This window comes from Homo sapiens, chromosome 17 (genome assembly GCF_000001405.40).
Source record: "Homo sapiens chromosome 17, GRCh38.p14 Primary Assembly".
Lineage (NCBI taxonomy): Eukaryota > Metazoa > Chordata > Mammalia > Primates > Hominidae > Homo > Homo sapiens.
This window is the reverse complement of record NC_000017.11, coordinates 47,116,427-47,134,518: the sequence shown is the minus strand read 5'-3', so window position 1 is coordinate 47,134,518 and position 18,092 is coordinate 47,116,427. Positions and strand designations below refer to the sequence as shown.

The 18,092-nt window shown below is 39.6% G+C and overlaps 1 protein-coding gene across 18 annotated transcripts in view, besides 1 other annotated feature; it reads left to right on the top strand.

The window, feature by feature from the left end:
• The window catches only part of CDC27 (cell division cycle 27), a 71,593-nt gene extending 54,777 nt beyond the window's left edge, over positions 1 to 16,816 (top strand). For 12 of the 18 annotated variants that reach the window (XM_017025485.3, NM_001353050.2, NM_001353051.2 and 9 more), the window contains 5 exons: positions 2,145 to 2,262; positions 4,998 to 5,126; positions 10,559 to 10,633; positions 11,919 to 12,075; positions 13,502 to 16,816. In XM_017025485.3, the coding sequence (XP_016880974.1) occupies positions 2,145 to 2,262; positions 4,998 to 5,126; positions 10,559 to 10,633; positions 11,919 to 12,075; positions 13,502 to 13,584 (562 nt within the window). In that variant the 3' untranslated portion in view covers positions 13,585 to 16,816. Of the gene's footprint in view, positions 1 to 2,144; positions 2,263 to 4,997; positions 5,127 to 10,558; positions 10,634 to 11,899; positions 12,076 to 13,501 lie in introns of those variants that run through there. The other 6 variants (NM_001353049.2, NM_001353047.2, NM_001353035.2 and 3 more) reach the window with 4 other exon arrangements.
• Positions 14,109 to 14,719: an enhancer, noted in NCBI's record as "OCT4-NANOG hESC enhancer chr17:45197166-45197776 (GRCh37/hg19 assembly coordinates)". NCBI's record gives its function as "activates a minimal SCP1, AML or CMV promoter by ChIP-STARR-seq in primed H9 embryonic stem cells {active_cell/tissue: H9 hESC(primed)}" and the evidence as "EXISTENCE:reporter gene assay evidence [ECO:0000049][PMID:30033119]".
• Positions 16,817 to 18,092: the final 1,276 nt, after the last annotated feature.

Sequence of the window (18,092 nt, the reverse complement as noted above, 5' to 3'; positions counted from 1 at the left end):
TCCATCTCAAAAACAAAACAAAACAAAACAAAACAAAAAAAAAACAATTAGGCATGGTGGTGTATGCCTGTAGTCCTAACTACTCAGGAGGCTGAGGTGGGAGGATTGCGTGAGCCTAAGAGTTCAAGGTTACCTGCAGTGAGCTATGATCACGCCATTGCACTCCAGCCCGGGCGACAGAGCAAGACGTTGAATTAAAAAAAAAAAAAAAATCTATATGGGTTTAGGGGTGTGGTTTCTTTTTTCCTTATTATCATAGTTTGATTTGATTTGATTTGATTGTTTTTGCTTGTAAAAGTGACTCTTTAAAATGTTTTAATGGTCTGGGCATGGTGGCTCATGCCTGTAATCCTAGCGTTTGGGAGGCCAAGGTGGGAGGATTGTTTGAGGCTAAGAGTTTGAAACCAGCTTGGTCAACATAGTGAGACCTCGTCTCCACAAAAAATTAAAAATATGTTAATATAAGAAGGCTGGGGGTGGTAGCTCACACCTGCAATCCCGGCACTTTGGTAGGCTGGGACAAGCAGATCACTTAAGGCCAGGAGTTCAAGACCAGCCTGGCCAACATGGGGAAACCTCGTCTCTACTAAAAATACAAGAAAATTAGCTGGGCGTGGTGACACATGCCTGTAATCCCAGCTACTTGGGAGGCTGAGGCACGAAAATCGCTTGAACCCAGGAGGCAGAGGTTGCAGTGAGCTGAGATTGCACCACTGCACTCCAACCTGGGTGACAAAAAGCAAGACTGTCTCAAAAAAGAAAAAAAATATATGTAGGCCAGGTGTGGTGGCTCATGCCTGTAATCCCACCACTTTGGGAGGCCGAGGCCGAGGCGGGCGGATCACCTGAGTCGGGAGTTCGAGACCAGCCTGACCAACATGGAGAAACCCTGTCTTTACTAAAAATACAAAATTAGCTGGGTGTGGTGGCGCATGCCTGTAATCCCAGCTACTCGGAAGGCTGAGGCAGGAGAAACGCTTGAACCTGGGAGGCGGAGGTTGTGGTGAGCTGTGATCATGCCATTGCACTACAGCCTGGGCAACAAGAGCGAAACTCCGTCTCAAAAAAAAAACAAAAAAACAGCTTGGCACCATGACTCACACCTGTAGTCCCAGCACTTTGGGAGGCCAAGGCGGGCGGATCACCTGAGGTCAGGAGTTCAAGACCAGCCTGACCAACATGGAGAAACCCCGTCTCTGCTAAAAATACAAAATTAGCCGGGCGTGATGGTGCATGCCTGTAATCCCCAGCTACTCGGGAGGCTGAGGCAGGAGAATTGCTTGAACCTGTGGGTGGAGGTTGTGGTGAGCCGAGATTGCACCATTGCACTCCAGCCTGGGCAACAAGAGCAAAACTCTGTCTCAAAAAAATACATATATATTATATATATATATATATATATATATATATATGTATATTTGTGTGTGTGTGTTTGTGTGTGTGTGTGTGTGTGTGTATATGTATGTGTGTGTGTGTGTGTGTGTGTGTGTATATATATATATATATATATATATATATATATATATATATGCGCCTGGGCAACATGGCAAAACCCCATCTCTACAAAAAATACAAAAATTAGCCATGCCTGGTGGCGTGCACCTGTAGTTGCAGCTACTCAGGATGCTGAGGTGGGAGGATTGATCACTTGAGCCTGGGAGGTCAAGGCTGCAGTGAGCCGTGATTGAGCCACTGCACTCCAGCCTAGGCAACAGAGTGAGGTGCTATCTTTAAAATATAATAATAATAATAATAATAATAATAATAATAATAATAAACTGCTTTAATGGCTAGGCATTGTGGTTCATGCCTGTAGTCTCAGCTACTCTGGAGGCTGAGGCTGGAGGATTCTTTGAACCCGGAAGTTCAAGGATGCAGTGAGCTATGATTGGCCCACTGCACTCCAGCCTGGGTGACAGAGTGAGACCCTAATTCAAAAAAAAATTTTTTTATTTAAAAATAAGTAAATAAAATGCTTTAATGATTTTTATCATAACTGGTATTTTTTGCCTCTCCTCTAAGACCACCAGTATTCCACTGGATTATTAAAATGCCAGATTCTATACTTGTTCTTTTACTAATTGAACTAAATTAGCAACCTAAACTTTATATTTTTAAAATTATACTTTGTTTTATACTTTCAGGTATGGTTTAGGAATGATTTATTACAAGCAAGAAAAATTCAGCCTTGCAGAAATGCATTTCCAAAAAGCGCTTGATATCAACCCTCAAAGTTCAGTTTTACTTTGCCACATTGGAGTAGTAAGTAGCTTTCTAAACATTAATACTCTATTAATCTCCCTTTTGAAATATGTTTGTTATTGATTTAATTGCTGTGATAAAAATTGGTCCTTTTTTGTGTTGAAACAGTATTCTGGAGCCTATTACACCCAAAAATACTACCCATTTGGCTTAGCATAAAAAATCACAGAATTGCCCTTATCCCTTGCACAAGTCACTTCATTGCTCTGAGCTTTTATTTTATGAATGTCATGTACTACTTGCTTACCTCATAGGGTTGTTCTGTGACTCAAGTAAGATATCTCCTGGCCAGTTGCAGTGGCTCATGCCTGTAATGCCAGCGCTTTAGGAGGCCGAGGCAGGTGAATCACTTAAGGTCAGGAGTTGGAGACCAGCCTGGGCAACATAGCGAGACCCCATCTCTACAAAAAAAATTTAAAAATTAGCCTGGCATGGTGGTGCACACCTGTGGTCCTGGCTACTTGGGAGGCTGAAGCACAAGGATCACTTGAGCCCAGGAGTGCAAGGCTGCTGTGAGCTAAGAAGGTGATACTGCACTCCAGCCTGGGCAACAGAATGAGACTCCATCTCTTAAAAGAAAATAAATAAATTTTACTTTAACAGGAGAAAAGATATGTACATTATGTTTGTTTGCTTTTTAAAATCGCATTTATTAGCTTCTGTGTAAGTACGGTACCTTAAGTTCTTGTTCTCATCCTCTCATCCCTTTCCCCTTCTCCCTCCCCTCAGCTTCTCTCTTTTTTTCCCCCTAGCAAGTTTAGCTTTTGTGGGAATGGTCATACAATGTGAGGAAATTGTTAGTTTGAAATGTCACTATCTTGGGGAGAGTAGAATTCTAATTCTCTATTGACTATAATGACATTGACCATGATAATTTTCTTAAAAATGGACATAGTCCAGCACCGTAAGACAGGGCAAGAAAAAAAAGTTGACAGTAACTTCTTTTATAGTTAGCTACTACGGAAAAAATGGAGAGATAATGTGTCTACTTAAAATTATTTTTTGTTGTCATCACCTTATTTATTCAATTCAAAATTAAATCTCTTGACACCTTTTGGTGAAGTTGAACACTTTTTTAAAAATAGGAATTCTTCTGAACTTATTGTAGAACAGGTTGTTTTAAATTTTTGAGTGGTTTATTTGAAGAAATTGTCAGGTAAGAGAGTAAGCTTTTCTCTTTTCGGGAACTAGTATTTAGGGTCTCAGTCCTGTGGGCAGAATATTTGGCCACCATTAGATCATTGCGTAGATGAGTTTAGCAAGCAGACGTTGGCACTACCTATTCTCACATTCTTATGACCATGATATTTGTTAAAGTTCTGCAGCCACATTCATACATTCATTCACCCCACTTTTTTAATTTAATTTTTTTTTTTTTTGAGATGGAGTTTCGCTCTTGTTGCCCAGGCTGGAGTGCAGTGGCACAATCTCAGCTTACCACAACCTCCACCTCCCAGGTTCAAGTGATTCTCCTGCCTCAGCCTCCTGAGTAGCTGGGATTACAGGTGCCCGACACCACGCCTGGCTAATTTTTTGTATTTTTAGTAGAGACGGGGGTTTCATCATGTTGGCCAGGCTGGTCTCGAACTCTTGACCTCAGGTGATCCACCCACGTTGGCCTCCCAAAGTGCTGGGATTACAGGCGTGAGCCACCGGGCCCAGCCCACCCCACTTTATAACATATAATTTGTCCAAGGAGGAGCATAGCAGAATATTAGTATACACATATGAATGAATAGTGAGGTTTGGTACTTTTTAAATCTTTTAAATTTTAAGTTATTTAAAATATCTTAAGTTATTTGCTTCCCAGTATTAGAGATCAGTGATTTTCAATTATGTAAAACAGTAAAATCATTTTTCTTTTTTTTCTCTTTTTTTATTTTTATTTTTATTTTTTGAGACGGAGTCTCGCTCTGTCGCCCAGGCTGGAGTGCAGTGGCGCGATCTTGGCTCACTGCAACCTCTGCCTCCAGGTTCAAGCAATTCTCCTGCCTCAGCCTCCCAAGTAGCTCGGACTACAGGCGTGTGACACCACGCCCGGCTAATTTTTTGTATTTTTAGTAGAGATGGGGTTTCACCGTGTTAGCCAGGATGGTCTCGATCTCCTGACCTCGTGATCCACCTGCCTTGGCCTCCCAACGTGCTCAGATTACAGGCCTGAGTCACCGCACCTGGCCAGTAAAATCATTTTTCAAATAAATTCCTAAAATATTGAAAATATAATTGTTCTGAGTGAAACAAGGTTTGTAAACAGGAGTGTTAACACAGTTTTGAGAAGTCTAATATTTGAAAGACCGCATAAACCTGATGAAATGTGAATATTATCTGGCTAAATAGTACAGATCTTTTTTATGAATAGAACACCAAGGTTTTGCTTGCCTTTTAGACTTAAAGGTAACCAAATATCTGCTCTAAAGATAGACTATTGATTATCATCATAGGTATGTACCAGAGGACCTAGATTTTTATCACAGAGCAAATTATTTAAGATCTCTAGACTTCAGTATTCTCATCTTTAGTGAAGCAGTTGAACTAGAATTAGAAGTGATTTTAGAGATAATCTATTAATCATTTGGTAATTAATTACTAAATCCACTTAATGCAGTGGACAATCCAGTTAGACCCTACAACCTTATCTCTAATAATTTGATTATGTTGGTTTTGAGTCACGTTGGTTCTCACCTTTCTTCATAAATATCAAGAGGGAGTATTAACATGATCTTTATTTCTTACAGGTTCAACATGCACTGAAAAAATCAGAGAAGGCTTTGGATACCCTAAACAAAGCCATTGTCATTGATCCCAAGAACCCTCTATGCAAATTTCACAGAGCCTCAGTTTTATTTGCAAATGAAAAATATAAGGTAAGATAAATATCTTAAGGGTCTTCAGTGTTGTATTGCTTAAAAACAACGTTATCCCTTGTTTTCAATAAACTGAAAGTTATTTATTTAATTTTGATCTGAGACATTTTTCCAAGCTGTTAATTTCATTTTTTGTGATTTTTATGTCTTCATGAAATACTCATAGGAAGGATAGGTGTGTGGATATTTAGGAATATATAGTTATCCCTTGTAAAGATGTCTTATATAGAAAGGCAGTTTTTTCATCAGGTAGTTATCTTAAAGTTATCTTAAACCATCCTCTTAGGACCAAAATAAGTGAACAGATGAAAATGAATGTATGGGCCAGGCGCAGTGGCTTACGCCTGTAATCCCAGCACTTTGGGAGACCAAGGCGGGCGGATCACCTGAGTCAGGAGTTCAAGACCAGCCGGGCCACATGGTGAAACCCCATCTCTACTAAAAATACAAAAAATTAGCTGGGCATGGTGGCAGGTGCCTGTAAGTCTCAGCTACTGGGGAGGCTGAGGCAGGAGAATCACTTGAACCCAGGAGGCAGAGGTTTCAGTGAGCCAAGATCACACCACTGCTCTCCAGCCTGGGCGACAGAGCGAGACTTCATCTCAAAAAAAAAAAAAAAAATTAAAAATTAAAAAACAGAAAAAGAAAACGAATGTGTGTGCATTATTCAGCTTTTATTGATTACCCAGTATGTGTCAGGCACCAGGAATATAGTGGCAAGTAAAGCAATCATCTTTCCTGCTTTTGAGGGGCCTACTATCTAGTACTCTCTAGGAAAACAGACATTAACCAAATAATCACAAAATATAATAAATGTTTAATACATAAAGGGAAAGTGTATTAAGTTATGAGAGCTTATAACACGGAGACTAGTTCTAGTCTGATGTGTCTTTCTCTTTACTTCTCACTCTTTTTCAAATTATGTATGCTTAGCCTGAAACAAGTATTGAAAAAAGAAGATAAGGAAACTGAGAAAGAGATAAGAGGCAAAAAGACACGAGATTTTTGTTATCATTTATTCAATCAGAAACCATGAAGCAAAATCTTTTAAAATAAATTCAGGGCTGGGCGCAGTGGCTCACACCTGTAATCCCAGCTCTTCGGGAGGCCAAGGTGGGCAAATCACTTGAGGTCAGAAGTTCGAGACCAGCCTGGCCAACAGGGTGAAACCCCATCTCTACCAAAAATACAAAAATTAGCCAGGCATGGTGGTGTGCACCTGTAGACCCAGCTACTTGGGAGGCTGAGGCACGAGAATCACTTGAACCCAGGAGGCAGAGGTTGCAGTGAGCCAAGATTACGCCACTGCATTCCAGCCTGGGCAACAGCAACACTCTGTCTCACAAAAGAAAAATAGAAAGAAATATACCAAACCAGTGATAACTTTTTTTTAATACTAATAAAAATCCCTATAATCCCGTCACTTTGGAGGAAGAGGCAGGCAGATCACATGAGTCCACGGAACTTGAGACCAGCCTGGGCAACATGGCAAAACCCCATCTCTACCAAAAAAAATACAAAAATTAGCCAGGTGTGGTGACGTGTGCCTGTACTCTCAGCTACTCAGGAAGCTGAAATGAGAGGATGGCTTGAGCTCAGGAGGCGGAGGTTGCAGTGAGCTGTTTTCGCGCCACTGCACTTCAGCCTGGGCCACAAAGCTAGACCCTGTCTTAAAAAACAAAAAAAAAATAGGGCCAGGCACAGTGGCTCACGTATGTAATCCCAGCCCTTTGGGAGGCTGGGGCGGGCAGATCACGAGGTCAGGAGTTTGAGGCCAGCCCGGCCAACTTGGTGAAACCCCGTCTCTACTAAAAATACAAAAATTAGCCGGGCATGGTGGTGGGCACCTGTAATCCCAGCTACCTGGGAGGCTGAGGCAGGAGAATCGCTTGAAACTGGAAGGCAGAGGTTGCAGTGAGTTGAGATCACACCACTGCGCTCCAGCCTGGGCAACAAGAGTGAAACTCCATCTCAAAAAAAAACGTAAAAATAGGCTAATAAAGATATACAAAGGGATTAAATATATAATTTATCTAGTAATTCCTTTAGTTTTATTCTATCTTCTTTATGAAGACACGGGTTTCTATTTTTACTGGTTTTGTCCTTTTAAAAAGCTTGTCTTTCTTTAGTTTTTGTTTTTCTTGCTCTGTTGCCCAAGCTGGAGTGCAGTGGTGCAATCATAGCTCACTGAAGCCTCAAATTCCTAGGCTGAATTCCTTGTACCCAGGACTACAGGCATAAGCCACCATGCTCAGCTAATTTTTTTATCTAACTGGAGTCTTTAAAAACCTTCTTTTAGGGCCAGGTGCCGTGGCCCATGCTTGTAATCCCAGCACTTTGACAGGCCAAGGCAGCCAGATCACTTGAGGCCAGGAGTTCAAGACCAGCCTGGCCAACATGGTGAAACCCTGTCTCTACTGAAAATACAAAAATTAGCTGGGCCTGGTGGTGCACTCCTGTAATCCCAGCTACTCAAGTGGCTGAGGCATGAGAATCGCTTGAACCCATGAGGCGGAGGTTGCTGTGAGCCCAGATCACACCTCTGCATTCCAGCTTGGGCAACAGAGGGAGACTCTGTCTCAAAAAAAAATTTTTTTCATAAAGCTTATTTTAAATCTAATAAGCCCGTTTCAACTTTTAACTACTCTTTGAAGTACTATAATTGCAAATCAGTATTTGTTTTTATGTATTTGCTTTATGTACCTCTTTAGATATGAAGGACTTTATTCATTATTCTTAAAGCCATTTTAATACCAACATACCTACCAGATAGGCCACATAAATCAGCGTTTACTTGCTTCAAGAAACCCAAGTTCTAATCTCATCAGTTGTCTGGACTATGATATATATAGTGATAGCCATTTTTGTGGGGTTTTCTTTGATTGTTTAATTAGGCAGCCTTCCAATCCAAAGTAGGACCAGAGAGACTCCCTCTTTTGTTGTTATTATCATTATCATTATTATATCAGGCAGCCCCCTGAGCCACAGTAGACTCAGAAAAACTCCCAGTTATAGCCATTTTTGGGTATGAGCTTGGGGCTTCGCTGAATTATGAGGCCTAATTTGCTGCATGGATTAGATATAGAAATGTGACTGTATGAAAAGGGCATAAGGAAAAGTTAAAAGGTACATGTTCTCAGGATCTCCTGGGGCTGTGTCATTCCCTGGTCACTTGAAAAAAAGAAAGAAAAGTTAATGATTGCTTCTGAGATTTTCTGGCTCCAAAATGAAAATCAAGGGGGCCATTTCAACATCTCTAAAACATTGCTAGCCATCACCTTATTTAATGTGCTGTACTGATATTTAATTATTTAAATCTTAAGTCTTTAAGGTAAAAGTAAGAGCTCTGATGCTATGTGAGACACTATTTCTCAATGAGTCCTTGTAATTAGATCGCTGGGGGTGGGGATAGGCATGCTGGTTGCATGAAATGTTGATAACAATTATAATATGCAATCATAGAAAGAAAACATATCAATTCTGAATTGTGTGTGTTGTAGCAGTGAAGGAGGATTGGAGTGTGTCATCTTAGAGATTAAGATTTCTTTAAAGGCCAGGCGCAGCAGCTCACGCCTGTAATCCCAGCACTTTGGGAGGCTGAGGCGGGTGGATCACGAGGTCAGGAGTTCAAGACCAGCCTGGCCAACATGGTGAAACCCCATCTCTACTAAAAATACAAAAATTAGCCAGGCATGGTGGCGGGCGCCTGTAATCACAGCTACTTGGGAGGCTGAAGCAGGAGAATCGCTTCAACCTGGGAGGTGGGAGTTGCAGTGAGCCACTGCATTTCAGGCTGGACGACAGAGCAAAACTCCATCTCAGGGAAAAAAAAAAAGATTTCTTTAAAGGCTAGGCATGATGGCTCACGCCTGTAATCCCAGCACTTTGGGAGGCCAAGGTGAGAGGATCACTTGAGGTCAGAAGTTCGAGACCAGCTGGCCAATATGGTGAAACCGCGTGTCTACTAAAAATACAAAAATTAGCCAGGCATGGTGGCACACGCCTGTAATTCCAGCTGCTCAGGAGGCTGAGGCAGGAGAATCACTTGACACTGGGAGGGAGAGGTTGTAGCGAGCCAAGATCACGACACCACACTCCAGCCTGGGTGATAGAGTGAAACGCCATCTCAAAAAAAAAAAAAAAAAAAAAAAAAAAAAGATTTCTTTAAAGTAAGGCCGGGTGCAGTGGCTCACAACTGTAATCCTAGCACTTTGGGAGGCCAAGGCAGGTGGATCACCTGAGGTCAGGAGTTCAAGACCAGCCTGGGCAACTTTAGTGAAACCCCATCTCTACTAAAAATACAAAACAAAATTAGGCATTACAGGTAAGCCCCTGTAATCCCAGCTACTCGAGAGGCTGAGGCAGGAGAATCACTTGAACCCAGGAGGCAGAGGTTGCAGTGAGCAGAGATCGCACCACTGCACTCCAGCCTGGGTGACAGAATGAGAGTCCATCTCAAAAAAGAAAAAAAGATGTCTTTAAAGTAATAATTCTCAGAGTGGTCTGGGAATTTCTGGGGGTCCCTAAAATCCTTCCAAGGAGTCCTAGAGGTCAAAGCTATTTTTACAATAATATCTTGACGTTATTTACCTTTTTCACTCTCATTCTGTCCAAATGGACAGTAGAATTTTCCAAAAGCTACATAATATGTGATATTGAAACAGATTAAATGGAGAAGCAGATAGATGTGAGAATCTAGCTGTCTTCTACTAACAGAGACTTGCAAAAATGTTAATGCCACTCTTCTCAATAACTTTTTGTTGTTCTGAAAAATTATATAGTTATTTTTCGTTAAAAAATAAATCACTGGGCCGGGCATGGTGGCTCACGCCTGTAATCCCAGCACTTTGGTAGGCTGAGGCGGGCAGATTACTTGAGGTCAGGAGTTCAAGACCAGCCTGGCTGACATGGTGAAACCCCGTCTCTACTAAAAATACAAAAATTAGCTGGGTGTGGTGGCGCATGCCTGTAATCCCAGTTACGCGGGAGGCTGAGGCAGGAGAATTGCTTGAATCTGAGAAGCGGAGATTGCAGAGAGCAGAGATGGCGCCACTGCACTCCAGCCTGGGCGACAGAGCGAGACTCCACCTCAATAAATAAAAATGAATAGATAGATAGATAGATAGATAGATAGATGACCAAAAGCAAGGATTGTTACCACCTGCATATTTCACGAAGAGGGGTGTGTGTGTGTGTGTGTGTGTGTGTGTGTGTTTTCAGTGTACTAGAGTGCCTGCCATTTCTTAGTACCTATTGTCATATAAGTATGCATTTTATTTTCACAGCAATAAGAACTAATACAATAAGGAAGTATATTGATTAAGATTTAGTTAGCTTTTGTGAAGATGATTTGGGAAATCAAATAAGTAAAAACGCTTGGTCAAAACTTTAAAAATTTTTGCTACTTTAAGGTTTTTCTTTGCCTTTTTCAGTCTGCTTTACAAGAACTTGAAGAATTGAAACAAATTGTTCCCAAAGAATCCCTCGTTTACTTCTTAATAGGAAAGGTAAAGACTGGGGTCATGGTCCCAAACAGTGACTTTCATAGCAAATAATGACATTTTATAAGAATAAATGTAATACTTCCTGTACATATCTATTGAGCAAATTAAACTAAAGCTCCGAACTGAGTGCTCTGGGAATAACAGATTTAGTTCTAACACTTAAGAAAATGATATCCTAGCCAGGCATGGTGCCTCACGCCTGTAATCCCAGCACTTTGGGAGGCCTAGGCAGGTAGATTACGTGAGGTCAGGAGTTTAAGACCAGCCTGACCAACATGGTGAAACCTGACCTCTACTAAAAATACAAAAAATTAGCTGGGCATGGTGACACATGCCTGTAATCCCAGCTACTCCAGAGGCTGAGGCACGAGAATCACTTGAACCTGGGAGGCAGAGGTTGCCATGAGCCAAGATCACCCCACTGCACTCCAGCCTGGGCAAGAGAACAAGATTCTGTCTCAGAAAGAAAAAAAAAAAAAAAAAAAAGTAGAAAAAAAAGTAGAAGAACATGAATGGCACTGTGTTGTCTTGATTAAGAGAAATGGCTTCTGAGAGTCCCAAGGCCAGACTAGTCAGTTTTTTACAGACTAGACCTCCATATGCCAATTAGTTAAGGTGACTGTGGACAGTTGTAAAGAGTTGATATAACTCAATTTAAAATCACTGTAAATGAAAGTTAATTAAGCAGTTTATAATCCATTTAATCCCATTATCATTGCTCCAGTCAGAGTGATATTTATTGGAAACTTACTACCTGAAAGATAGAAGCAAGGAATTCTGAAAATAATGTCTGATTATATTAAAAGGAACTCAAAAGCTGGTATGAGTTCATCTGTAGGAAGAAAATGTCCTACCCTTAGAATGAGTTTAGAGCACATAAATCAGGAGCCTAATTTAAATTATAAATATTTAGAATTGTAGAGGCTGGGCGCGGTGGCTCACACCTGTAATCCCAGCACTTTGGGAGGCAGGTGGATCATCTGAGTCAGGAGTTTGAGAGTAGCCTAGCTAACATGGCAAAACCCTGTCTCTACTAAAAATACAAAAATTAGCCAGGGGTGGTGGTGGGCACCTGTAGTCCGAGCTACTCAGGAGACTGAAGCAGGAGAATCGCTTGAACCTGGGAGGTGGAGGTTGCAGTGAGCCAAGATCGTGCCATTGCACTCTAGCCTGGGTAATAGAGTGAGACTCCATCTCAAAAATAAATAAATAAGTATATATATAGTTAGAATTTTATAGTTGAAGCTCACAACTTAATGAAAAATGTAGTGCTGCTGTTTATTTTTAGGTTTACAAGAAGTTAGGTCAAACGCACCTCGCCCTGATGAATTTCTCTTGGGCTATGGATTTAGATCCTAAAGGAGCCAATAACCAGATTAAAGAGGCAATTGATAAGCGTTATCTTCCAGATGATGAGGAGCCAATAACCCAAGAAGAACAGATCAGTAAGTATCATACATATGATTTTGAGTATTTAGAAAGTTACCTTTTGCATAAGGATTTGTAGGCTACTCTTTTATTTTATTTTTCTAACCATGGTGTTTTCATTATACCAAATGGACTTTTAGGGAAATTGAACAGGGTGATGTAATAACAAAATGCATATAAAGTCAGATAATGAGTCTCTGTTCTGGATCTAGTTTGCTGTGTGACTTTGACAAATTCATTGCTAAGTTTTACCTGGACCTCAATTTATGTTTGAATATGTAACCAGTACTGTTTTATCTGCTTCATAAAAATGTAGTTTTTTAAATAACAGAATGGAGAAATTTCTGACAAGATAAATTCTGATTAGATGCCTTTGTTCCAGAAAACTTGGTGAAAGGCTTTAATTAAAATTATAAGCCATGGGGCCAGTCGCAGTGGCTCAGGCCTGTAATTCCAACACTTTGGGAGGTGGAGGTGGGTGGATCACCTGAGGTCAGGAGATGACACCAGCTGACCAACATGGTGAAACCTCGTCTCTACTAAAAATACAAAAATTAGCTGGGCGTGGTTGCGGGCGCCTGTAATCCTAGCTACTCGGGAGGCTGAGACAGGAGAATTGCTTGAACCCAGGAGGCTGAAGTTGCAGTGAGCCGAAATCACGCCATTGCACTCCAACCTGGATGACAAGAATGAAACTCTGTCTCAAAAAAAAAAAAAAAGTATATATATGCCAGGCATGATGGCTTGCGTATGTAATCGCAGCTACTCAGGAGGCTGAGGTGGGAGGATTGCTTGAGCCTAGGATTTCACGACTAGCCAGTGAGACCCTGTCTCTAAACAAATTTTTAAAAGTAGCTGGCTGTGGTGGTACGTGTCTATAGTCCCAGCTACTTGGGAGGCTGAGGCAGGAGAATCATACCACTTGAGCCCAGGAGTTTGAGGCTGCAGTGAGCTATGATTGTGCCACTGCACTCCAGCCTAGGTGACAGAGCAAGATAGATGATTGATTGATTGATTGACTGATAGACTGACCCCATAAACCTTTTGAAACTGAAGGTTATAGTCTGTGTTTCTGTGGACTAGCAGGGAGTATTCTTAAAGTGGAGTCAGTGATTGGAGGTTGGGGGAAATGTCAATTTTTTTTTTTTAATGTCTCAGAGAACTAGCTAGTTGTAATTCCTAGGGCAGGAATAAGGAACTCATTAGGAAGAGGCAGTTTTGGTAGTTAAAACTTAAAGGTAAAATGCAGTAAGCTAATATCAGACCTATTATAAAGTTAGGAAACTTGAGTTGCATTTTATTAAAGGATATGAGGATTTTTAAGGGCCTTTATTTAGGGTTTTATCTCTCTGAATATAATACAATTTTTCTTACTTGTTTTCATGAACCAACAGGACATATTTGTCAGAAAACTTACTGTGGACTTCTGTTTTATTTTTAAAGTGGGAACAGATGAATCCCAGGAGAGCAGCATGACAGATGCGGATGACACACAACTTCATGCAGCTGAAAGTGATGAATTTTAACTTCTGGAAATCAGACTTTTACAACTGGATGTGTGACTAGTGCTGACGTGTTTCTTGTCCCTCTGTATACTGAGTCTTTACTCTTGAGCTGGCGGTGTCATCGTCCGTCACTTATACCATGAGTGTGCCACTTTCATTGGACCCTGACTGTATACAGAATGAAAGGCAGTGCAATATTTAGCTGCTAACAAGACTGGCTCTTTTACCAGTATGAATGACAATTTATGGGGGGTAGGGTGGGGAACTTTCTTTTCTGTTTTTCTTTAATCTCCCTTTGTTGGAAAGTATCATGAAAGGAAGAGTTATGCTTTATCTTGAAGGAACCATTAGATATGGAAAATAGTGATGAACCAGAGTTTCTTGGTTGCTTTTTCAAAAATTTGTTTTTATTTGGTTCTGTTCCTGATAAACAGAGTAACTGACCTTCATTTCTAGGTTCTTCAAGAATGGTGTTTGCAAGTGCCAGATGGAACAATAAAAGACGTTGCCTATAACAGTGACTTGATTGCCAAGGAATGTAAATTACCTTAAACTTGCAGTATCTCCCATAAACAAATGTAATGGGCATATTGGGACTCGTATGTAGGAATCAAATATCCCTCCATACAGTGTACTCTTATTCTTGGCAAGAATGCTTTAATGTCTAACCAAGAATTTTAATTTATTCATCTTGCTTCAAAGTGTTGATCATTGTTGTCTTGGTATTGCAAACTTTAAAATTGTTTCTTACCATATTGCCTCTTCTCTTTGAGCTCTGTGGGATCACCTTTAACATTCAGAGATGATAGAGTGGTTCCCCACTGAGAAGCCAAAACAAGGCCCTTAATAACCCCTTAAGTTCACCATATGAATCAGAAGGAGAACACTAAAGTGGAGAGACTTTTAAGAGATCATGATAGTGAAAGCCTTAATATAATCAGAATTGTACCATAACCTTGAATCTATATTTGTTCAAAACATCCCTTTGACTTTTCTAAGTGTTTGCTTAAGCAGAGTGTAAGAATGTGTGGTTACCTTTGGTTGAGATCCTTTCCATTCTTTTTGACTCTCTGCTTCAGATTTTTTCAGTAGTGTGAGTCACCAAAACATTTACTAAGAGTAATTGGGTTTAGGATGTTGGAAATTTTTAGCTTGGGGGAAAAAACATTCTTATGAAGGAGATAGGTTCTCTTCTGAGTTTGTCATAATATAGATTGGTGTCTTTGGAAAATGGCCACAATTTTAAGAATTCAATTATGCATATAAAATGATAATTATTGGAATTCCACAGTAACAGATTTAAACAGTCTTAAATTGTTTATCTCCTTTACTGTAATGTATTGAAATTTTTAGAGAAATTTTAGTTGTTAACATTTTATTAAGTGCCAGTGTCAGAATATAACAAATTATAGTTTCTTATGAATGACAGGCCTACAGTTATTATTCTGGATTATTTGATGGAGGACAAACTTACCTGTATTTGTTAGTCAAGCTGTGAAAATAAGGTGGATTACAAAAGATGTGAAAAAAATTTTAGTCTGTAGACTCAGTAATTTTCTATAATTTACTGTTAATCTCATTTGAACATGGATTAGGTACAATTTATAAATTAATTCAAGTCAGGGTCTTTAGGTATCAGGTGCCAGAGAGATATTTAACAGATTTCCCTACCTAAATTTATGTATATGTACTGTCTAAAACAATACTTTTTTAAAAAAAAGGAACAGTTGGGAGAAAATAAATATAATGAAAAATTCCCAGAGGCTAGCACTTGGATTCTAACACGTATGCTATTGTATTATCCATTAGTTCTGTAATATTTAATTTTAGATTCTTTTATTTTTTTAATTGGCAAAGCACAAGGTGCTGTATAACAGTGTCATTTAGAGTTTTATAGAAAGCTTCAACCTGAGTTCTGCGTTATAAAGCCTGGAGAAAGCTAAGCTTAGAACATAACTTGCTGAAGTATAATTATCTTTTTGTAGCAGGAATTTATGTGCCAGAGGTGAGAGTCTTTCTGGTACTGATTTTTTGAGACCAAGGATAAAAGGATCGTTTTGTAAGACATGCCATGGCAATGGCTGGTTGGGGGACAGTTTCCGCCCAAGCTTGGCCTATTTTATTTTTCCTCATACCTACTTTCAAAGTCATTTAGGTATTTGAAGCCTTATTTCCCACGTAGTAACACTTTCTGGCTTTTGCAGTTTCTTTTTTTGTTTGGTTTTGTTTTTTGCATGGAATGGGGATCAAACAACCCGAAGAAGAACACATTTTGATCAAGCAAAATGTTTGCTTCAAATTTCAGAAGTTTATTTTACAGAAATTAAATTAAGTAGTTTGACATCCTTTTCTCTGTTTCACACATATATTAGGTTGGTGCATAAGTAATTGTGGTTTTTGCCATGACTTTTATGGCAAAACCTGCAATTACTTTTGCACCAACTTAATACATCTATATACATATATATATACGCGCACACACTTGTTCAGAAGTTATGTTGTGGCCTTGGATTTGTTTTTCCCCTTGGAAATGGTTCTTAACTCTGGGATTTTAGAAGGTTAGAATATTTTTTCAAGAGAACAGTGGTACTCAAAAGAATGAAAGGTGGTCCCTACATTTTCTGTATTCATCACTTAAAATTTTTAATTTTTCCGAGAACTACAAGTAACATTTGAACCATGCTGCTGTTGTACCTTAAACAAAAACTCAGTGATAACCAGTATTTAGTCTATTAAAAATGCTCTTTTTGAAGAAAAAAGTTTGGAAGTCTCTGATTAGCCAGAGTATAGTATGAGTCTTCACTGAGAAATATGGTGACCCATTTTCTTTGTGAAAACCTGGGAAAATGCAAGTGTGGGTATGAAGTGTGTGTTCTGTTTGCATTGAAACAATGTAATTTTGTGTCTTCTTTTTGCTTTAACTGACTTATTTCAGAAATTGTACAGTGTTGAGGGGGAAAGTCTTTTCTGTTAATATATTTGCAATTCATTAAAGGATATGGAAAATCCAAATAAGTTACTTTTGAAAGCAATTTATAATCAAGTTGTTAAAGCTATATGAAAGCTGTGCCATCTGTATTTTAATAAGAAGGCACAGAAAAACAGAGATACAGTTTTATGTTTCACAAAAAACTAGAGCAATGTTTATCTAATTTTTTAAAACTTACACTCTTAATATATTTATATTTTTAAACGGTCATACTCTTTTTTAGTATTATTTGGAATATCAAAATAAATACTATGACAAAAACAATGGTAATTTTTAGAATACCTTTTTTCAAACTACAGAAGCCCCTTACCAACCAGCAGCTGCGAATTTGCAAGTCAACTGCTTATTCTTTGATCACGTGATTTCTGAAATTTCTTCAAAAGGGACACAAAGGTTTTTTTGTTCCAATTAGAATCTATTTAAAAAGGTCAGGATCTGAAAGAAGTAAGATGTAGAAACTAAATTTTACTCTAATTTGAAATTTTTTTTTTTTTGGTATCTTGGAGAAAGTACAAAGAGCTGAAGGGTTTTATTCAGACTTGAAGAAAAGGCAGTAACAGGGAAAAACATGTGAAGGTGGGGTGAGCTGGGCAGTTCCAAGGGGAACAATGCAGACCTCATAACCTTCCCTAGGACCTGCCATTTAATGTCAGCTGAACAAGGATAAACAGCAGCTTAGACATGGAGCTATTCTTTGGCTTGTTTAGCTGACAACTTATGGTTCATGAAGGTTCAGTATAGGTTTTATTTTTCTTTGTAAGTGCAAACTTTGTTTAAAAGCTATGTTTGCTGAGATCCTGGTCTATGGATTGTGTTACTTGCTTTGTGGATGGTATTTTCAATTCTCATCACTAGAAGGTAGGTATTACTTCATTTTACAAAACAGAAAACAGGCTCAGCTATTAAATGATAAAACTGGGCACTTTTGGCATTAGTGTATGTTCAGAATCTTATATTTTAGTTTTGGACTTCCTCTGGAGGTTTCAAGTCATATTTAATGGTAACTGTAAGTTGTCTTCTCTAGCATTTTTTTAAAGACAGTCTCGCTCTGCCCCGCATCCTGGAGTGCAGTAGTATGATCATAGCTCACTGCAGCCTCGAACTCCTGGACTCAAGCAATCCTCCCACCTCAGCCACCCAGGTAGCCAGGACTAAACATGCACCACGACACCTGGCTCATTTTTTATTTTTTATTTTTGTAGAGTCAGGGTATTGCTATGTTGCCCAGGCTAATCTCAAACTCCTGGCCTCAAGCAATCCTCCCACCTCAGCCTCCCAAAGCACTGAGATTATAAGCGTGAGTCACCTCACCCAGCCCTCTAGCCTTTTTTTTTTTTTTTTTTTTTTTTTGAGATAGAGTTTCGCTCTTGTTGCCCAGGCTGGAGTGCAGTGGCGCGATCTCGACTCACCGCAACCTCCACCTCCCAGGTCCAAGCGATTCTCCTGCCTTAGCCTCCTGAGTAGCTGGGACTACAGGCATGTGCCACCACGCCCAGCTAATTTTTGTATTTTTAGTAGAGACGGGCTTTCCATGTTGGTC